The sequence below is a fragment of the Homo sapiens genome, chromosome 1 (genome assembly GCF_000001405.40).
Source record: "Homo sapiens chromosome 1, GRCh38.p14 Primary Assembly".
Classification (NCBI taxonomy): Eukaryota; Metazoa; Chordata; class Mammalia; order Primates; family Hominidae; genus Homo; species Homo sapiens.
The window spans coordinates 91316565-91340290 of NC_000001.11; the positions used below are offsets into that span (position 1 = coordinate 91316565).

General features: G+C 38.9%; 1 protein-coding gene and 1 pseudogene across 21 annotated transcripts in view; one reads left to right on the forward strand and one right to left on the reverse strand.

The window, feature by feature from the left end:
• HFM1 (helicase for meiosis 1) overlaps positions 1–23726 on the reverse strand; it is a 147242-nt gene that overhangs the window by 55799 nt on the left and 67717 nt on the right. For 13 of the 21 annotated variants that reach the window (XM_011540852.3, XM_011540857.2, XM_017000490.2 and 10 more), the window contains 5 exons: positions 8111–8202; positions 6529–6635; positions 6386–6433; positions 2729–2826; positions 2514–2645 (listed from right to left, as the gene is read on the reverse strand). In XM_011540852.3, the coding sequence (XP_011539154.1) occupies positions 2514–2645; positions 2729–2826; positions 6386–6433; positions 6529–6635; positions 8111–8202 (477 nt within the window). Of the gene's footprint in view, positions 1–2513; positions 2646–2728; positions 2827–6385; positions 6434–6528; positions 6636–8110; positions 8203–19873; positions 21117–23726 lie in introns of those variants that run through there. The other 8 variants (XM_017000491.2, XM_047447938.1, XM_047447956.1 and 5 more) reach the window with 6 other exon arrangements.
• Positions 11678–13692, forward strand: FEN1P1 (flap structure-specific endonuclease 1 pseudogene 1; annotated as a pseudogene).

Sequence of the window (23726 nt, forward strand, 5' to 3'; positions counted from 1 at the left end):
AAAAAAAATTTTAAGATCCAGTCAAATAACTAACTTAAAGTTTTTGTAAAAAGTTTTCAGTTGGATTATTGGGTTTGTGACATTATTCAATTATTCATATTTATTCAGACAAATAAAATATGCATTTGCTTTATAAAAGAAAGAGAAACTCTGGTCCACATGATGGATGTTTAGTTCTACTATACGTCATCCATAGTCCAATCACCAAGAGATATGTATTTTTGTACTCATGCTTGAAAGAAAGGCAACATGATTCAAGGATCATGCTTGAATGAAGCGAGGGAATACTGCTTTATGAAGCTATGGCTCTCTGACCATTTCTGTCTTAGAAATACAGTTCTATGTTTCTGTAACTAAACCAGACTATTTTAATCTACTGCCTAAAACTTCCAATGCTTTTCCATTGTATTTAGAATGAAGTGGCAATTTCCTTACTGGAGCCAAATTTCCTTACCTATATAATCTGACTACAGCCTTTGTCTCAAATCTAATTTCCTCTAACTCTCCTCTTGCTGACTACTCTCCAGTCACACTTGCTTTCATTCTATTCCTTAAATACATCAAATTCGGTTGGGCCCAGTGGCTCACACCTGTAATCCCAGCACTTTAGGAGGCCAAGGCGGGCGGATCACCTGAGGTCGGGAGTTCGAGACCAACCTGACCAACATGGAGAAACCCCGTCTCTACTAAAAATACAAAATTAGCCGGGCATGGTGGCACATGCCTGTAATCCCAGCTACTCAGGAGGCTGAGGCAGGAGAATCGCTTGAACCCGAGAGGCGGAGGTTGCGGTGAGCCAAGATCGTGCCATTGTACTCTAGCCTGGGCAACAAAGCAAAACTCCATCTCAAAAACAAACAAACAAACAACAAAAAAAATCAAGTTCATTTTCTTCTTTGGATCTTTCCTATTTCCTTATACTTTCAGAAGGCAGAATTTACAATTCTTATATGCTTATGAATGAATTTATCCAAATCCCCAAATAGAAGACACGGAACAGTATAAAATTCCAAAATATTACTACTTTGTCTAAGGCACATATATTACATGTATTACTGGTGAAGGTATGACCCTATTTCCTTACTCATATATTTACTTGTTCTTGGGAATTTCTCTTAGTTCTTCTTAAGACTCAGCTTCTAGTATTCATAATTCCTTAATGTTCATTTCCATTTCCCCTCAAAATGTTTATTGACTTTTAACTTTTTCATTTATAGCCAACATTAAAATTAATTTGTATGCATTATTTTTTTCAAGATGCCCAATAACAACTTGGATTTGACTTTTTGTTTAGATTCTCTCACTTTTATATGATTTTTTTTTTCTGGGCAATATTTGCTTTTTTCTGTTCAGCTGTAATGAGTGTGTGTGAAAACAGGTTAGTTTCAACAATCTGGAAGGGACAGAATGCAATGGATGCCCATATTGACAATACTCTAGAAAGCCAGAAAGATTGGCTTTTTCAAGTATAATGAAATTTACTAGTAATCACTTAGCCGAATTTCAAAATTTTCTAAATGTTGTATGGAACCACCTTTCCAATTGAGAACTCTTGCCTTTGTGGGATGGATGTGGTATTTGGTTGCCAGGACTTCTGTAAGAAGGTGAGCCTTTCCATCAGGAATCTCTCCCCTTACTTTCACCAGCCAATCCCCACTTCACCCCAGCTCCCATGACTTCCTAGTCAGCCCTCTGCCACCCCACTGATTTCAAATTTCCAGATACAAAAGGTAGGTCTTCTTCATAAACAGTTGGTAATCTTTGTTCAAATAAATAACAAAACATCCCTAAAAATCCATTATTTAATTTGTTGATACCCCCAAGATGCATACAAAATTGTAAAATTAACAAGGCTGTCAGTGATGAGATAGTAACTCTCTTTTTAGAATTCTAGCTATCTAAGAAAGAATAGGGTCACAAGGTCACAGGTACCAAACAGGAAAATCCTTTGTAAATGGTACTCCCTACAGTCTCATAGCACACACTACACAAGGTCCCTATAGACAAAATAATCAGGCACAATCTTTTGTCTACAGAATCTCTATGAAAATCAGTATTAATACCCTACTGTTATTGAAAACAAAAAAAAAATTAAGACATAAAGAGGTGACATAATTTTCTGTAATGAATTAGGAATGGCTGGGACTGCTAACTCCACCTTGTAATTGAGATCAAAACAAAATATTCATCAAAAAAGTGGAAGAGAGGGCATCACATAGTTGCCTAATTACTGTAACCAAATTTCCCTCTTGGTATGAGAAAAAATTTTCAAATGACAGCATTAATTTTTATTAGGTTTCTCATGTACTCATGTATCATTCAGTTGATTTCAAATGGAATCCTTTAAGCAGGAGCAAAGGAAAATCAGATTTTCGAAAGTACAGCACTTATTTAAGCCTACAAACACATACCTTCCTTGAAGGTCTGTAATCATCACAGAATAATTTTACTAACAGTGAATACAAAATAAATTGCAGACATGGCCAAACTGCCTGCCTGTATTCAGTACCTACCAATTTTTTCCAGTTGTTTGGATACATGCAGAGAGTTTTCCCAAAGTTTACACCTAAAACATTTAGCTAAAATCAAACTATTCAATAGTACAGCAAACTTCTTTTCTTGAGCAGCTACAAAATCTGACAACCCTAAAAAAAAAGTTTCCAGTATTAAATCTAATATACCAGTTTATTGGAAAAAATATTTAAAATCCACTAATCCTGTAACATACATCTTGTAATTCGGGAGCCATGTCTGAAAATCTTTGCGGTATCTTGTGTCAAAGCAAAATCTTGTATGGGAATGCATCCTAGTTGAGCCTGAATAAGACTGGGGGAAAGAAAAAAAATTGTTACTCCCTTTTAAGGGTTATCTATCTCCCAGTATTTGATATCACTCACTGAAGTATTCCTTCTTAAAACTTTTCTCTGCCTTAATTTCTGCAATACTACATGATTATCTTGCATAATTATTATTGCAGGTCAATAATAAAAGTTCATTCCTTTTTCCCCAAATCCTCAAAGTTGTCTTTATTTATTTATTTATTTATTGCTCTTCTTTATTCACTCAATCTCTCTCTAAAAGATCTCATTTCTTCTCAGACTTTCATTATAATCTCTAGATTGATACAAATTACAGGAGACTTTCACTTAGACTGTTACTTTAACCTCAACTATCTCAAATTATTTTCATATTCTCCTCCAATACAGATCTATCTTTTGGCTCTACTATTTCTTTTCAAAGAATTAGAGAAAAATAATACAATTTGTTTAATCAACACATTTTTATTAAATGCTTATTAAGTGCCAGGCATAGTATTAGGTGCTGATAATTCTATTCAGTGTATGAAGGTCAGTAGCATATTAGCTGGTTATTCAAAACCAGCAGCTGCTGGGCTACTAAATTTGAGGTGTTAGTTGTTCAAGGGGAAAAAAGACACTAGTGCCTATGTGCCTAGTATATCCCGGGTTCTTTGCTACCTGTTTTGCCCATAAACTTACCTAATCAGGCATTGATATGCAAATCACTGATGGTTCTAACTAAAATTACTGTACTTATTATTACTCTCTTAAGGGGATCTCTTTTAAAAAACAAATTTCTTCCTAAACTCCTCAGTAGAAGGAGGTCTCTCAATAAGACCGAAACAGTCAGCTATACAAAGAAAAACGGCAGAATAGTTATATTTCATGATTTCGTTTAGCACAAGATACATGAAAATTGAAAGAAGTAATCAACTCACTTCCTGGAATGGATGTATACAGCTGAAATTTAAACTATTCACTTTTTTTGGCTATGGTATATGCTTCTGAAAATTATTTTATATCATCTATTAAGAAATAGTTACAAAGATACACAGTATACTATCAAAGAAGGAACTGATGGAAAAATGTAAATGGGGTGCTTTTAAATGCTGGGTAAATAAAACTCCTTGTTAAGCTACCTAGAGATGCACAAATGTGGAGTAAGAAATTGCTGGAGTAAAAATAAGACTTTTGAAGTAATATTTATTTATATTAAAAAGCAATACTTCTAATAATAAATAGGACACTTTTCAACATCATACTTCCCTGTCAGAAATCTTATTTCAAGAAGCAGTAATAAAACAGGGATAGGAGGAAGGACAGGGATTTAAGCTAGTAGGTACAGAACCATGGCAGGGCTCTCTGTTTCTCTGCACCAGATAAGGCAAGCAGTGATGTCCTATGATCTTACCCCTGAGCTTGTCCTCAGTAAAAACAGAAGTGCCACAGCCTCAGGTGAGGTGGCAGCTCTACCACCTCAACTAACAGGGGCAGAGTTACATGGTAGTTATGACTAACCCAGGGTTAGTAAAAGAATTAAATGAGATAAAGTATTGATTCGGTTAGAATTACGTTCATGACCAGACCATATCAGTTTACACACAAACAGTTTATTCTTGTGTGTAAAAGGGGAATCCAGAGTTGGGAAGTCCAGGGCTTCGTATGGTGGCTCCACATCATACCCTGTCAGTTCACTGAAAAATACCAGTTAAAGAAAACAGAGCTAGTGCTGAAGAGGGAAGACCTAGGAATTAAAGCTAGGAAGAATTTAAAAATAGCCTTAAATTAAAAGGGCAGAGCCAGGCACGCTGGCTCACGCCTGTAATCCCAGCACTTTGGGAGGCCGAGGCAGGTGGATCACCTTTGAGGTCAGGAGTTTGGGACAAGACTGGCCAACATGGTGAAACCCCATCTCTACTAAAAATACAAAAATTAGCCAGGTGTGATAGTGTGCTCCTGTAATCACAGCTACTCCAGAGGCTGAGGCAGGAGAATCGCTTGAGCCCGGGAGGCAGAGGTTGCAGTGAGCGGAGATCATGCCCTTGCACTTGAGCCTGGGCCACAGTGTGACACTCTGTCTCAAAATAAATAAATAAATAAATAAAAATAATAAAAAGGGAAGAAACCAGAAACTTGAAGGATAAAATCCTAAAACTAAGAGGATTAACATCTACTTGGAGAAGAACAGATTTGAAGTTCAGCAAAGTAACAGGGATATGACAAAGCCATGAAAAAGGTAACTATTAGCCATCATCACCTACCAAAAGACTATAAATTTTGGATTAAGACCCCTCCATCCCACACGTACACACATTCTCTCTTCTTGGTTATGCTTAAATAAGATGCACAAAGGCGGGAAATGATAATGGGAATCTAAATTATGATATGTATAAAAACAATTATAAAGTATAATAATTAACTTTAAAATTTGACAGCTTCAATCAAAAGAATATACTACCCAATTTAAGGCAAAGTTAATGGAAGCACTGAAAGTGCAAATAAAGTGTTCCCAAGAAAATGAATGTGGAAAAATACTTGATTTAATTTGACTCAATAATTTATGCAACACAGTATACTGGGGGAAAAAATGAGAAAATCAAGAGTTCTAGATAGCAACATAACCTTGGCGAAGTCATAACTTATCTGGGCATCACTTACATCGTTTGTAAAATGAGAGGATTGGGCTATATGATCTCTTAAGTTTACTATGATCTCTAAGGATATATGAATTTATAGAAATAAATATTTGAATATAGAAGTACAGCTAAGAAAATAAACATTAACTTCTGTGGTACAAGCTACAAATCTGCCTGATGAGTTGTAAACAACAATGAGAAGACTGTCTTATAGACGTAAAGGTATTTGGAAGATAAAATTTAATGAGATGTCAGGAAGAATCCCAAAGAAAGAATGGCCTCCTCTAGCTATGGAGGAAAAAGAAATTCTTTGGCTAATTGGTTTTATTGAGCCACATTGAAAAAGATCATTTCACCTTAAATTACATAACACTAAGACCTACATACTCAGAAAGCCAAGCACTCAGTATAGCAGAAAACAGTATCATTGCATTTGTGACTGCAAACTGCTAAAAGTCACAAGTTACAGTGTAACCTTAATTTACTCTTTCAATTACTAGTCTCTGTACAAACTCCCCATTTTTGGCAGAACAGTCATCCACTGTCACATATACACGCCTTTACTCATGATTTTGCTTTTACTCTTTGTCTCTCCCAGAATGCCACTACCATTCAGTAGACATTTATTACACAGGTTTTCATACTGTCCATTATTTTTAAATGTACTACTCTCACTCAAGCTAACTTGAAAGCTCCTGACAATGAGAAGCATAAGAAGCATGTCTTCATTCAACCGTCCACCTTGCCTCAACAGAATACACTCTGAACAAATGTTTGCTAAGAAAAAGCATTCACAAATCATCAATTTTAAAGTCTGAGAGTTGTAAGAAATTAATTTCACATCCACATTCTGACTCATTTTTATGTAATCTTTTCTGTATTAAGAAAAACAAATTAAAAATGTTTTAAAACCAAAAAAAGAAAACTTTCATAAGTATGAATCATCTTTACCAATTTACTTTCATTTCTCTTGTTTTAATTCTTCCTTCCATTGGAAATCTGTAAATAAAACCACATGGCAAAACATTTATTATTATTTATTTTAATTAAATAAAACCTCTTAAAATTATTTAAAACATATGTAATTTCTGTACCTGATAGTTATCCGATTTGGATCTTTGTTCAAAGTATTCAGTGTTTTCTTTTCATTTATCCTTAACTGTATATCTAGAAATTCCTTGCAGCCAGCTATCAATGTAACCTATAACATTTCAGTAGTTGTCCATTTAATGAAGTCTATTTTTTATTTCCTCTCATCCTTTCTCCAAATTTATTTATTTTTCATACTGCCTTAAACCATCACAGTTTTATCAATGAACATAACAGAGTTAAAAACCTGCTTTATACATTTTGCTTCTTTAAGGATTCATTCATTCACTAACAAATGCTTACAAACTCCTATTATATACCAGACACTGCATTAGACACCAGGACTATACCAATAAAACTTTAAAGATTAACAAGATAGAATTTAAAATATCTAGCCCAGTGCCTATCACATAGTAATAAATAAGTCCTCAATAAACACTGTTTTTGTTACTCCTACTCCTAATACTACTACTACTGCTATTCTACTGTTCTATAGTTTGCAAATCATTATCTCAATTGAGGATAATTTAGTCATAGAATGTTTTAGATATTAGGAAATTTGGATTCTAGAGCCTACTTCCACCAGATGACAAACAAAGCAGTCTCTGTGCTTTGGTTTCCCACATATCTAAAATGGAACTAACACTTGTTTTAATTTTCTTACACACTTGCTAAACTCAAGATCAGATGAGTTAATGTTAATAGTGGGTGTTTTCGACTCTTGATTTCTCCTTAGTTAAGAATAATGTTTACACAAAAATACAAACCTTCTATTTTTCATCAATTGTTGTTTATGTGACTCCTCAATCATAACTGGAATTCTACTGTGCAATTTTTACTACAATAATCTTACCACAGTAATCAAATTAGATATTTTAAATAAAAATGAACGGCTTAAATTTGAGAGTAAATATTTTCTTTTATGAATATTGTTTCATATTCATGTCCTGAGTAAAGGGAGAAAGGACCAATGCAGTCGCCATATACCAATGACATGCCTATGGTTCTATTCACTGCTGCAGCTGCAAAGTTGCCCCATTGTTGATATTTTAGCATAACCTGTTATTATTCCCATTTTTTCTACAATCAGTTCTTTTATCTAGGTCATCACCAATACTATTCTATTTCCATTGTTCTCACTGTTCTCACCCAAAATATTTAGGGAAGGGTTGCAAGTACGTGGCACACATGCTGCATGCAACTCACTGTCCTTCACTCATGGTAGACTTTCCTAATATATCACACCACATCATCTTGGAATCTTTCTTACATATTATTACATTGTGTAGCCACTACCAAGGTAATTAGCATTATCACCTAAGTTGTAAAGTAGTTGCCATACCTATTTTAGTTTTGTATATAAGTTTTCTTAGCTCTGATAAGAGTTAAAACAGAAAATATAATATATTCTAAGAAAGACTATTCCATATCTCATGATCAGAATTATACCAGAGGATATATCTTAGAAATGCTTTCTTTTCTGCTCATTCATTCTTAAATTATATGAGATACACAAATTAGTTGTTTCTCAAATATTATTTTATACTATACCACTATGTATTTTTTTTCTAGTGAAAATTAATTTACCAGATCTGATAAGGTTTCTTTTCCACTGATTGTATAAAATTTCTTCACTGTCTCAAATGTAATATAATACCAAGCCATCAATCTTCCTGCTTCTGTAAGAAAAGACAGAAAAATGAACGGTCCCCTCATCAGCTGAACCAACTGTTTTTTTATGTTTAACAAACATTTCCTGAGGGGAGGAGAAGCAAGATGGTAGAACAGAAGCCTAGACCATTGGTCCTCACTGCAGGAACACCAAATTTTAACAACAATCTGCACACACAAAAGCACTCTAATTGCTTTTCTGCACACAGAAAAGTACTGTCACAAGAATCAAAAATCAGGTACCAGCTTGGCCATGGCTGGGTAGAGCAACAAGGAGGCTCTTGGGGTCTCTGAGTCCAGGCCTAGGCTCTTAAGACAGCATTTCTGGACCTGCCCTGGGCCAGAGGGGGAGCCTACTGCCCTGAAGGATGCATAGTCCCAGGCCTGGCAGCATTCACTATAAGCTGACAGAAGAGCCCTTGGGCTTTAAGTGAACATCAGTGATGACTTGGCACAACCCCCTGAGGACCAGTGAAGGTCGTGGCCACAGGCAGAGACTCTTCCAATCCCTGGCTCTCAGACAGTCTCTCAGACAGTATCTCTGGACACACCCAGGACCTGGGGGAACTCACCATCCCGAAGTGAAAGGCCTTGGGAAGGCCCAGTGCTGTGCTGGCTTCAGGTCTGACCCAGCACAGTCCCAGCCCACAGGAGTGCTTACATCAGCATAGCCCCAATTCCAAGTGGCTCAGCACAGAGAGAGAGAATCTGTATTTTTGAGAGAAAGTAAGGGAAAAGAACAAGAGTCTTTGCCTGATAGTCCAGAGAATTCTTCTCCATCTTATCCATGAACACCAAGGTGGTAGGTCTACGAATCTGCAAAAACCACAGCATAATCGGGCTTATGGCCAAAGTCCCTTTGAATACCTAGAAAGCCTTCTCAAGAAGGACAGGCAAAAACAAGCCCAGACTGTGAAGACTAGAATAAATACCTAGCTGCTGAATGCTCAGACACCAAAGAACACCTCCAGGAAAACATGACCTCACCAAGTGAACTAAACAAGGCAGCAGGAATGAATCCTAGAAAAAGAGAGATATGTGACCTTTCAGACAGAGAATTCAAAATAGCTGTTTTGAAGAAACTCAAAGAAATTCAAGATAACACAGAGAAAGGATTCAGAATTCTATCAGATAAATTTAACAAAGAGATTGAAATAATTAAAAAGAATAAAGCAGAAATCCTAGAGTTGGAAAAATGCAATGACATGCCGAACAATGCATCAGAGTATCTTAACAGCAACACTGATCAAGCAGAAGAAACAGTAAGTGAGCTTGAAGACAGGATATTTGAAAATACATAGTCAGAGGAGACAAAAGAAAAAATAATTTTAAAAAAATGAAGTACACCTATAAGATCTGGAAAATAGCCTCAAAAGGGCAAATCTAAGAGTTATTGACCTTAAAGAAGCAGTACAAAAAGAGATGGCAGTAAAGTTTATTCAAAAGCATAGTATCACAGAACATCCCAAACACAGAGAAAGATATCAACATTCAAGTAAAAGAAGGTTATAGAATACCAAGCAGATTTAACCCAAAGAAGGCTACCTCACGGTATTTAATAATCAAACTCCCAAAGGTCAAGGATAAAGAAAGGATCCTAAGAGCAGCAAAAAACAAACAGCATAGAATGGAGCTCCAATGTGTCTGGCAGCAGACTTTTCAGTGGAAACCTTACAGGCCATGAGAGAGTGGCAGGACATATTTAAAGTGCTAAAGAAAAAAAAAACCCTTTTACTCTAGAATAGTATATCTGCTGAAAATATCCTTTAACAATGAAGGAGAAATAAAGAGCTTCCTAGACAAACAAAAGCTGAGGGATTTCATCAACACCAGACGTGTCCTCTAAGAAATGTTCAAGGAAGCTCTTCAATCTGAAAGAAAAGGATGTTAATAAGCAAGAAGAAAATCATTTGAAAGTACAAAACTCACTGGTTATAGTAAGCACACAGAAAAACACAGAATATTATAACACTGTAATTGTGGTGTGTAAACTTCTCTTGACTTAAATAGACTAAATGAAGCAATCAAAAATAATAGCTACAACAGCTTTTCAAGACACAGAATAATAAGATGTAAAGGGAAACAAGAAAAAGGTAAAAAGCATGGGGATGAAGTTAAAGTGTAGAGTGTCTATTAGTTTTCTTTTTACATTTTTGTTTGCTTGTTTAGGCAATCAGTGTTAGGTTATCATCAGTGTGAAATAATGGGTTACGAGACAGTATTTGCAAACCCCATGGTAACCTCAAATTGAAAGACATACAACAGATACACAAAAAATAAAAAGCAAGAAATTAAAGCATGCCACCAGAGAAAATCACCTTCACTGAACAGAAGACAGGAAGACAGAAAGAAGGAAGAGAAGACTGTAAAACAACCAGAAAACAAATAACAAAATGGCAGGAGTAAGTTCCTACTTATCAATAATAACATTGAATGTAAATGGGCTAAAGTCTCCAATAAAAATACATAGACTGAGGCTGGGCACAATGGGTCATGCCTATAATCCCAGCAATTTGCAAGGCCAAGGCAGGAGGATTGCCTGAGCTCAGCACTTTGAGACAAGCGTGAGCAACACGGCAAAACCCCATCTCTACCAAAAATACAAAAAAGTTAGCCAGGAATGGTGGCATGTGCCTGTGATCCCAGCTACTTGGGGGGCTGAGGTAGGAGGGTCACTTGAGCCTGGGACGTGGAGGTTATAGTGAGGAGCACCCAGATATATAAAGCAAATATTATTAGAGATAAAGAGAGAGATAGGCCCCAATATGATGATAGCTGGAGACTTCACCCCACTTTCAGCACTGAACAGATCATCCAGACAGAAAATCGACAAAGAAACATCAAACTTAATCTGCACTATAGACCAAATGGACCTGATAGATATTTACAAAACATTTCATCCAACAGCTGCAGAATACACATCTTTCTCATCAGCACATGGATCATTCAAGGAGAGACCATATGTTAGGTCACAAAACAGGTCTTAAAACAGTTTTAAAAATTGAAATAATATCAAGCATCTTCTGAAATAAAACTAGAAATAAATAGCAAAAGGAATTTTGGAAACTATACAAATACATGGAAATTAAACAACAGGCTCCTAAATGACCAGCGCGTCAATGAATAAATTCAGATGAAAAGTGAAAAATTTTTTGAAACAAATGATAATGGAAACACAACATACCAAAACCAATGGGATACAGCAAAAGTAGTATGAAGAGGAAAGTTTATAGCTACAAGTGCCTACATCAAAAAAGAAGAAAAATGTCAAATAAAAAACCTAATGATGCATCTTAAAGAACTAGAAAAGCAAGTGCTAACCAAACACAAAATTAGTAGAAGAAAAGAAATAATAAATGTCAGAGCAGAAATAAAATTGAAATGAAGAAAACAATACAAAAGACCAATGAAACAAAAATGTTGGTTTCTAGAAAAGGTTAACAAAATTGACAAACCTTTAGCCAGACTAAGAAGAAAAAGAAGGGCTGAGTGTCAGGCGACCCGCAGCTAAGCTGAGGGGGGAAAGTGGGCTTAGGACCGCCTGCCCAGGGCAACCCTGAATCAAGCTTTAGCCGCCGAGGCCTCGTGTCCCAAAGGCCAGTCATCCCTCCTCTGTGTTGCCATGGGTATTCAAGGCCTGGCCAAACTAATTGCTGATGTGGCCCCCAGTGCCACCCGGGAGAATGACATCAAGAGCTACTTTGGCCGTAAGGTGGCCATTGATGCCTCTATGAGCACTTATCAGTTCCTGATTGCTGTTCGCCAGGGTGGGGATGTGCTGCAGAACGAGGAGGGTGAGACCACCAGCCACCTGATAGGCATGTTCTACCGCACTATTCGCGTGATGGAGAACGGCATCAAGCCCATGTATGTCTTTGAGGGCACGCCACCACAGCACAAGTCAGGCGAGCTGGCCAAATGCAGTGAACTGCGGGGCTGAGGCAGAGAAGCAGCTACAGCAGGCTCAGGCTGCTGGGGCCGAGCAGGTGGTGGAAAAATTCACTAAGTGGCTGGTGAAGGTCACTAAGCAGCACAACGATAAGTGCAAACATCTGCTGAGCCTCATGGGCATCCCTTACCTTGATGCACCCATCGAGGCAGAGGCCAGCTGTGCTGCCCTGGTGAAGGCTGGCAAAGTCTATCCTGTGGCTACCGAGGACATGGACTGCTTCACCTTCGGCAGCCCTGTGCTAATGCAACACCTGACTGCCAGTGAAGCCAAAAAGCTGCCAATCCAGGAATTCCACCTGAGCTGGATTCTGCAGGAGCTAGAACCAGGAACAGTTTGTGGATCTGTGCATCCTGCTAGGCAGTGACTACTGTAAGAGTATCTGGAGTATTGGGCCCAAGCGGGCTGTGGATCTAATCCAGAAGCACAAGAGCATCGAGGAGATCGTGCAGCGACTTGACCCCAACAAGTACCCTTTGCCAGAAAATCGGCTCCACAAGGAGGCTTACCAGCTCTTCTTGGAACCTGAGGTGCTGGGCCCAGAGTCTGTGGAGCTGAAGTGGAGCGAGCCAAATGAAGAAGAGCTGGTCAAGTTCGTGTGTGGTGAAAAGCAGTTCTCTGAGGAGCGAATCCACAGTGGGGTCAAGAGGCTGAGTAAGAGTCATTAAGGCAGCACCCAGGGCCGCCTGGATGATTTCTTCAAGGTGACTGGCTCACTCTCTTCAGCTAAGTGCAAGGAGCCAGAATCAAAGGGATCCACTAAGAAGAAGGCAAAGACTGGGGCAGCAAGGAAGTTTAAAAGGGGAAAATAAATGTGTTTCCCCATTATACCTCCTTGACACCAGAATATTTGCCCTCTTGTACCCTTAAGAGCTACAGCTAGAGAAACCTTCACAGGGGTGGAGAGAGCATTCTAAGGTTTTTCTAGCGTGACCCTTTTCAGTAGTGCTAGTCCCTTTTTTACTTGATCTTAATGGCAAGAAGGCCACAGAGGTACTTTTCCTTTTTTAGCTCAGGAAAATATGTCAGGCTCAAACCACTTCTCAGGCAGTTTAGTGGATGGACAATAAGTCCATTGTTACATGAAAGTGATAGATAGCAACAAGTTTTGGAGAAGAGAGAGGGAGATAAAAGGGGGAGACAAAAGATGTACAAAAATGATTTCCTGGCTGGCCAACTGGTGGCCAGTGGGAGGTGATGGTGGACCTAGACTGCTTTTCTGTCTTGTTCAGCCTTGACCCACCTTGAGAGACAGCCATCAGGAAGGCGCATCTTAGCAGATGGGAGGAACTGCTGAGAGAAGATAGGCAGAGAGCTGGAGCCCCTGGAGTTGACTGTGTCTATGTCTGTGACTGATTGCTGGCTGTGTCTTGGGTGGGCAGACACTCGAACTTGCTATGTAATTTGTGTCTAGTTATTCAGAGGAGTAAGACGGTGATGTTCATCTGGCAATCAGCTGAGTTGAGACTTTGGGATAAGACACTGGTTTTCATGTGCTGTTTTTGTTTTAAAGTTATAAAGAAAAAAGTCAATAAAATTATAAAAGTAAAAAAAAAGAAGAAGAAGAAAAAGAAAATATCCAAATAAATAAAATCAGAGATGAAAAAGGAGGCATTACAACTGATACCATACAAATTCAAAGGATCATTAGTGGCTACTAGCAGCAACTACATGCCAATATATTGGAAAATCTAGAAGAAATGAACAAATTCCTAGACACATACAACCTACTAAGATTGAACCATGAAGAAACCCAAAACCTGAACAGAAAAATAATAAGTAATGAGATTGAAACCATAATAAAGTCTCCCTGTAAAGAGAAGCCTGGGACCCAATGGCTTCACTGCTGAATTCTACCAAACATTTAAAGAAGAACTACCACAAATCCTGCTCAAAAACTGTTTCAAAAAATAGAGGAGGAGGGAATACTTCCAAACTTACTCTACTAGGACGTTATTACCCTGATACCACAACCAGACAAAGACATATCAAAAAAGGGAAACTACAGGCCAATATCTTTGATGAATATTGATGCAAAACCCTCAACAAAATACTAGCAAACCAAATTCAACAACACACTAAAAAGATTATTCAACATGACCAAGTGGGGTTTATCCCAGGGATGCAAGGATAGTTCAACGTATACAAATCAACCAATGTGATACATCATATCAAGACAATGAAGAACAAAAATCACAATTGATGCTTAAAAAGCATTCGATAAAATTCAACATCCATTCATGATAAATACCCTCAAAAAGCTGGGTATAGAAGGAATAATAAAGCCATATATCATGACCCACAGCTAGTATCATACTGAATGGGGATAAACGGAAAAGCTTTCCTCTAAGATATGGAATATGACAAGGATGCCCACTTTCACCACTGTTATTCACCATAGTATTGGAAGTCCTAGCTAGAGCAATCAGATAGGAGAAATTAATAAAGGACATTCGCTTGGAAAGGAAGAAGTCAAATTATCCTTGTTTGCAGATGAAATAATCTTATATTTGGAAAAACATAAAGAATCCACAAGAAAACTGTCAGAAATAATAAATTCAGTAATGTTGCAGGATACAACATCAACATGCAAAAATCAGTAGCATTCCTATATGCCAACAGTGAAAACTCTGAAAAAGAAATAAAAAGTAATCCATTTATAATAGCCACAACTAAAATTAAATATCTAGAAAGTAATAAAAGAAGTAAAAGATCTTTGTAATTAAAACTATAAAACACTGATGAAATAAATTGAAGAGGACACCAAAAAATGAAAAAATATTCCATGAAAAACCTGAAAAAGAAATAAAAAAGTAATCCCATTTATAATAGCCACAATTAAAATTAAATATCTAGGAATTAATGAAAGAAGTGAAAGATCTTTGTAATTAAAACTATAAAACACTGGTTGGGTGCAGTGGCTCATGCCTGTAATCCCAGCATTTTGGAAGGCAAAGGCAGGCAGATCACTTCAGGTCAGGAGTTTGAGACTAGCCTGGCCAACATGGCGAAACCCTGTCTCTAGTAAAAATACAAAAATTAGCTGGGTGTGATGGCAGGCGCCTGTAATCCCAGCTACTCAGGAGGCTGAGGCAGGAGAATCACTTGAACCCGAGAGGCAGAGGTTGCAGTGAGCCAAGATCGCACCACTGCACTCTAGCCTGGGCGACAGAGGGAGACTCCATCTCAAAAACAAACAAACAAAGAAACACAAAAACTATAAAACACTGATGAAAGAAATTGAAGAGGACACCAAAAAATGAAAAAATATTCCATGTTCATGGATTGGAAAAATCAATATTATTAAAATTTCCATATTACCCAAAGTAATCTAGAGATTCAGTGCAATCCCTATCAAAATACCAATGACATTCTTCACAGAAAGGGAAAAAAAAATCCTAAAATTTATATGGAACTACAAAAGATCCAGAATAGCCAAAGCTAGTCTAAGCAAAAAGAACAAAACTGGAGGAATTACATTACCTGATTTCAAACTATACTACAGAGCTATAGTAACCAAAACAATATGGTACTGGCATAAAAACAGACACATCAATCAATGGAACAGAATAAGGAACCCAGAAAGAAATCCACACACATCCAGTGAACTCATTTTTGACAAAGGTGCCAAGAACATACATTAGGGAAGACAGTCTCTTCAATAAATGGTGCTGAGAAAACTGGATATCCACATGCAGAAAAATGAAACTAGACCCCCTATCTCTTGATATATATAAAAATCAAATCAAAATGGATTAAAGACTTAAATCTAACAACTCAAACTACAAAACTACTACAAGAAAATATTAGGGAAACTCTCCAGGTCATTGGTCTGGGCAAAAATTTCTTGAGTAATACCCTACAAGCACAGGCAACAAAAAATGGACAAATGGGAACATATCAAGTTAAGAACTTTCTACACAGCAAAGGAAACAATCAACAAAGTGAAAAGAAAACCCACAGAATGGGAGAAAATATTTGCAAACTACCCATCTGACAAAAGATTAATAATTAGAATATATAAGGAGCTCAAACAACTCTACAGGAAAAAATCTAATAATCCAGTTGAAAAATGGGCAAAAGATTTGAATCAACATTTCTCAAAAGAAGACATACAAACAGCAAACAGGCATATGAAAAGGTGCTCAACATCACTGATCATCAGAGAAATGCAAATCAAAAGTACAATGAGATATCATCTCACCGCAGTTACAATGGCTTTTATCCAAATAACAGGCAATAATAAATGCTGGTGAAGATGTGAAGAAAAGGGAACCCCTGTACACTGTGGGTGGGAATGTAAATTAGTACAACCACTATGGAGAATAGTTTGGAGGTTCCTCAAAAAACTAAAAAGAGAGCTACTATATGATCCAGCAATCCCACTGCTGGGTATATACCCAAAAGAAAGGAAATCAGTATATCAAAGAGGTATCTACACTCTCAGTGTTTATTGCAGCAGTGTTCACAATAGCCAAGATTTGGAAGCAACTTAGTGTCCATCAACAGATGAATGGATAAAGAAAATGTGGTACATATGCACAATGGAGTATTAATCAGCCACAGAAAGAATGAGATCCTATCATTTGCAACAACATGGATGGAACCCCAGGTCATTATGCTGAGTGAAATAAGACAGGCACAGAAAGACCAACATTGCATGTTCTTACTTATTTGTGGAATCTGAAAATCAAAATAATTGAACTCATGGACATAGAGAGTAGAAAGATGGTTACCAGAGGCTGGGAAGGGTAGTGGGAGGGTGGAGGGGAGTTTGGTGGGGATGGTTAATGGGTACAAAAATAAAAAAAAAACAGAAAGAATGAATAAGACCTAGTATTTGATAGCATAACAGGGTGACGATAGTCAATAATAATTTGACTGTACATTTTAAAAATAACTTAAACAGTATAATTGGACTGTCTGTAACACAAAGGATAAATACTTGAGGGGATGGATTTTCCATGATATCATTATACACATTGCATACCTGCACCAAAATATCTCATGAACTCTATAAATATATATACTTACCATTTACCGACAAAAATTTAAAAATAATTTAAAACATTTTCTTAACATGTACTTTGTGCCTGTAATGCCACCAGGCACAAAAGACATACCAAAAAATGTAGAAGACACAATCTCTAGAATTTATAGGTTGGCTAGGAAGATAACTACATGCTAAGTACCTAGACGACAAAAAATCAGCTAATGTTAGTATTTACATACAAACTTGAGTATGGAGGAAATCAAACCTAAGAGGAATGGTCAGTGTAGAGTGGCCTACTACAAATAATGGATCTTGAGAAGGGTTTTTAAAGTGACTAATATGCTTTAGTAGAGAGGAAATAATGCCATTATGACGTTGGGGAAAATCCTGTTTATCCAAAGAGTAAAGTTAAAAAGACTATCTTTAGAATACTGTAATGATGGCTGGAAAAACATATGGCTTGACAGTGATTATGAGTCCTGATCAGACTGAGTTGATTAGAATCGCTGCTCCTCCTCTTATTGGGTATGCAAGTGATCATGCACAAGTTACGTGACCAGTTTCTTAATGTAATGTGGGAATAATAAAACTACCCACACCTCAGAAGTTTGTTGTGGAGAAGATTAAGTGCAATTAAAAATGGATATATAGTACTTAGCATGGTGCCTAATATTTAATGTGTTACCTATTTTTATTATTAAAACATGACAAATGATAGAGAGGCCCTGAAAGAGCCCTCAAATGATATTAAAAGAGGTTATATTTTGGATTTGATTTATAAAATAACAGGTGACCACTTAAAATTCTTGAGCAATATTTTAATTAAACTGGAGTCTGAAAATAAGTTATTCCGGAAATAGAACAGCAGATTGGTTGTGGGTAGGAGTATGGGAGAAATGGGGGTAACTAACTGATGAAATGGAATTCACTTAAGAGGTTACTGGATTCGGCCGGGCGCATTGGCTCACACCTGTAATCCCAGCACTTTGGGAGGCCGAGGCAGGTGGATCATGAGGTCAGGAGTTCGAGACCAGCCTGGTCAAGATGGTGAAACCCTGTCTCTACTAAAAATACAAAAATTAGCTGGGCGTGGTGGCGGGCACCTGTAGTCCCAGCTACTCAGGAGGCTGAGGCAGGAGAATCGCTTGAACCCGGGAGGTGGAGGTTGCAGTGAGCCGAGATCGTGCCACTGTACTCTAGCCTGGGTGACAGAGCAAGACTCTCTGTCTCAAAAAAAAAAAAAAAGTTACTGGATTCGATAAGTTGTCTAAAAACATTCCAAAGAATTTCAAGCCTTATGAACACATAGAAAACAGCTGGGAAGAAGAAAGTAGCATCCTGCTTCTCAAGGAAAGGGCTAACATTTACGTATGTGCTAAATGTTTTGCTGAAGAAGAAAAGATTTTTGGCATTCCAACAGAGTTACAAGCACCAAGGACATGGTACAATAGATAAAACTAACAATCAGGAATAGAGAAGTAGCCAGGCTCTCAATTAGGATCCTGGTGAATATGTTCAGCCAACATGTGAATAATGGATTAGTTTATAAAAAGGAGCTTCTGAGAGAAGGGTGTGAAATATCAAGATTATAATTACCACGAGAACTAGTTAACCATTGCAGTATATTTAAAGATGGTCCTCTTACCCTAAATATTTATAAGTTAATATAAGGTCTCTTCCTGATAGAGAAAATGAAAGGTTTTAAGAAAAGACTTAATACTTGTTGGCTTATTAATAGAGATGAAGCTTTCCTAGGTAAGACAGAAAAACATAACCTAGAAAGGAAAGCATAAGGAAAATGAGTCAAAGCAGAGGGAATGAAAAGTAATTTTTAAAGATTTGCAAGTAAAGCAAGGAAATAAAGAAACAACTTGCTATTAATATAGCTACTGAATGATTAATATTCTTACAGGAAATTCAGGATATTTCAAAGATTAATATTCTAACAGGAAATTCAGGATATTTCAAAGATTAATATTCTAACAGGAAATTCAGGATATTTCATAAAATACAGTGGTAGGGAGCATGGAGGACATGAGAATGTACCTTTCAGACCTCCTACTGCAAGACGTGTCAGTGACTGATGGCCCCAGCTGCTGTGCTCTGAATCATCATCATGTTTACACCGAGATCATACTTTCATGAGATGGCCCCAGTCAATGACTGAGCATGGCAGGGATGCTAAGGTACATCTATAAGAGTTCCTATCAACTTTGCCAAATGTTCTTAGGATTGCACTGCAGGCTAAGACCCCTCTCTCCCTCCCTCTCTCCCTCTCTCCTTCCCTCCTTGTAAGCTAAGATCCTCCAAGGGCTTTCTCTCTCCCATCCTCCTTGGAGGCTAAAATCCCTCCTGCCCTCCCCTCCTCCCTCCCTTCTTGCAAGCTAAGATCCTCCAAGGGCTTTCTCTGTCCCATCCTCCTTGGAGGCTAAAATCCCTCCTACCCTCCCCTCCTCCTTCCCTTCTTGCAAGCTAAGATCCCTGCCTCCCTCCTTGCAGGCTAAGATCTATCTCTATCTCTCTCTCCCTCCCTCCCTCCCTTCCTTCCTCCCTTCCTTCCAGAGTTATGGGATTCAATTATAAGTTGTCTAAAAACATCCCTTCCTCCATCCCATCCTTCCTTCCTCTCATACTTTCTCCCTCTCTGCCCCACCATGTTCCCTCCCCCTGCATTCCTTCCTACCCTCCTCCCCTTTCCCTCCTTACCTCCATCCCTTCTTTTCCTACTTCCCTCCATCCTGTCCTTTCTTCTTTCCCTCTATCCCTATCCTTCAAAGAGGTAAGATCTGCATCCCAGTTTAGTGACTCTTCCAGACTATTGCAGTTACCACCTATCTTCAGAAGGTTAATCTTTCTTAAATTCACAGTAGAAATTAAACAACAGAAGCCGGCAAGATTGCAGATTAAAAGGAATGCTTCTACACTGTTGGTGGGAGTGTAAATAAGTTCAACCACTGCGGAAGACAGTGTGGCAATTCCTATAAGACCTAGAACCAGAAATACCATTTGACCCAGCAATCCCATTACTGGGTATATACCCAAAGGAATACAAATCATTCTTTTGTAAAGATACATGCACACGTATGTTCACTGCAGCACTATTCACAATATCAAAGACATGGAATCAACCTAAATCCCCATCAATGAAAGACTGGATAAAGAAAACGTGGTACACATACACCATGGGATACTATGCAGCCATGAAAAGGAATGAGATATGTCCTCTGCAGGAAAATGGATGGAGCTGGAAGCCGTTATCCTCAGCAAACCAACACAGGAACGGAAAACCAAGCACCGCATGTTCTCATTTATAAATGGGAGCTGAACAATGAGAACACGTGGACGCGTTGTGGGGAACAACACACGTTGGGGTCTGTTGGGGAGGGCGAGGGGAAGGAGAGCATCAGGAAGAATAGCTAATGGATGCTGGGCTTGATACACAGGTGATGGTATGATCTGTGCAGCAAACCACCATGCCACATGTTTACCTGTAACGAACCTGCACATCTGCTCATATACCAGAACAGTTGAAGCGGGAAAAAATTGGCCTTTTGAGCCCTTCTCTCAGTACACATTATCTGGCAAACAGGTAAAAACCTCAATGCAAACATACAGATGAAAATACCTAGATACTTGAGTATTATGATTACAACCTAAAAAGCAAAAACTATATGAAGCAGAATTATAGGAACATACAAACTAAAAACTGATATACAAAAAATAAACTCAAAGAGACAAAATAAAGTATTAGTAATATGAAGGAATAAGAAGTCATAAAAATGAATTAATTAGAAATACTATGTAAGAAAATTACATCTACATTAATAACAGGCTAAGAAATTACAAACCCAGCATGGTGCAGCATCTTCCACAATTTGATGGGGAAGCTCAGAGTCCCGTCTCCAGTACTGCATCCCCTTTTTTCCGGGAGGCCTCAGGTAACTTGGCTGCAGCCTCTGTCACCCTGTGACCTGCAGATACTGGGAGATCCATAGGGAGAACTCTGGAACACCAGAAAAGCCAAGAAATTACATGTACAAATAAGAAATCATGTGAGCACACAGCATGAAGATGACTGTGTGCAAAGGAAGAGAACCCTCAACAGAATCTGACCATGTCAGCACACTTAACTCAGGCTTCCATCCTTCAGGAACTGAGAAAGGAGGAGGAGAACCAAGAGGGCCAACTGGACACAGCCAGGAAGAGCATCTCCCACCAAAAGACCAGACCATCAGGAAGACCAGCACACTCGAAGCAGATCTTCAGAAGGAAGTCATTGAGGGTGGTTGGAGGGAAGACACAGACCCTAGGTAGAAGCTGGGAACACTGCAGTGGGCTTCAAAGCACCAGGACTCATTCCCAGCCCCTGGTGGCTCCTGGGGAAGGGTGAGTTAAACAGGTGAGGAGTGGCCCACTCTTGTCACGGACCTCTGGAATCTTAGCTGCAGAAGACCTCATGACCCCCACAGACATTTAAATTGGCAGAGAGAACTGCCTGGAGAAATGGCAGGGACAGGACTCCACCCTGTGTGGAGCCCAAAGGGTTTGGCACAGGAATGGCTACAGTGGAGTACAGTCAGGAATGCCAATCCCCCAAGGCCTGCCATGCTCCTCTAAGTGGTTTTGGCCTTTGTTGACTGTTGGACCTAGACAGAGCAGGGCAGTCTTGTCCATGTGATGGGGCCAGTCTTATCTGAGTGCCCCCTGACTGCCAGCCTCTTCTGGGGTCCCTCCATGGCCAAGCTCACTTGCAGTGTGGCCTCAGTTGCCCAACTGGGGCACCGCCTAGTGGCCACCACCATAGCTCCTTAGCCAGCAGATGCCACTGAACCATTAGATGGACCCTGCCGATGTGCACCCACCAACAGCCTCCTCACACTGCTTTGCCAACACACACCTGTCTGCAGCCTCCCCCAACCACTCTGCTGGCATGCACTCAACCATGGCCTCCCCACATCACTTTGCTAGCATGCACATGGTGCACGGACCTTGTCACCACGGCCGTGGCCCCACCAGTGCACCACCGGTACATGCGGATCCCACTATGCTGCTGTCTTGCCACTGCTGATACACTGCAAACATGGACCCTGCTGTGCCACCACCACTGGTGCACATACCCAGACCTCACCATGCTACTATACAGCCACTGTTGGCATTACACATGAGTGCGTAACCTTCTGCCACTGCCCCATTTAAGTGTGATTGCCAGTGAACCAGGAACACCTCTAACCCTCCAGTGCAGCAGGTACTTAACCTCGAGGGGCCAGCAAACAAAGCCATGAGCATGCAGCCCAGGAGCACTGAGCTGAGCCCAAGCCCTCTGAAATCATCCAGAAACAAAGCCAGTCAACTAAACCCAACTTATGCCACAGTAAATCTCAATGACATCAAGGAATATAAAAGAAAAAGCCCCATCTGAAGGACAGCAACTTCAAATATTAAAGGAACATCAGCCCAGACAGACGAAAAACAATTAGTCTGTCTGGGCTGATGTTCTTGCCAGAAAGCAAGAACCCTGGCAACTCAAAATACCAGAGTGTTTTCTTACTTCCAAACAACCACACAGCTCCCCAGCAATGGTTCTTAACCAGGCTGAAATGGCTGAAATGTCAGACCTAGAATTCAGAATCTGGATGGCAATGAAGATCATCAAGATTCATCAGAAAGTTGAAGTCCAATCCAAGAAATCTAAGGAACCCAGTAAAATGATTAACAGGTGAAGGACAAAATCGCCATTTTAACAAAGAACCAAACTGATCTGATAGAGCTGAAAAACTCACTGCAAGAATTTCATAATACAATTGGAAGTATTAACAGCAGAATAAACCAAGCTGAGGAAACAATCTCAGAGCTCAAAAACCAGGTTTTCAAGTCTACTCAGTCAGAGAAAAATACAGAAAAAAGAATAAAAAAGAATGAACAAAACTTCCAAGAAATATGGGATTATGTAGAGACCAAAATTTAAAACTCATTGGTAGCCCTGAAAGAGAGGGAGAGAGAGAGAGAGCAAGAAACTTGGAAAATATAATTGAGAATACAGTTCAAAACATTTCCCTGACCTTGCTAGAGGGGTCAACATTCAAATTCAGAAAATTCAGAGAGCCCCAGTGAGATACTATATAGAACAGCCATCCCCCAAGACACATAGTCATTACATTCTCCAAGATCAATGGGAAAGAAAAAATATTCAGGGCAACTAGACAGAAAGGTATATGTTACCTACAAAGGGAAACATATAAAGCTAACAGCAGATCTTTCAGCAGCTCTTTCAGCAAAAATCCTACACGCCAGAAGAGTTTGGGGGCCTATATTAAGCATTTTTTTTGACAGGGTCTTACTCTGTCACCCAGGATGGATGGCAGTGGTGCAATCTTGGCTCACTGCAACCTCCTCCTCCCAGGCTCAAGTGATCCTGCCACCTCAGCATCCTAAGTAGCCGGGACTATAGACACATGCCATCATGCTCAGCTAATTTTTAGAAAAATTTTTTGTAGAGACAAGGTGTCACTATATTGCTCAGACTGGTCTCAAACTCCTGGGCTCAAATAATCTTCCTGCCTCAGCCTCCCAAAGTGCTGGGATTACAGGCA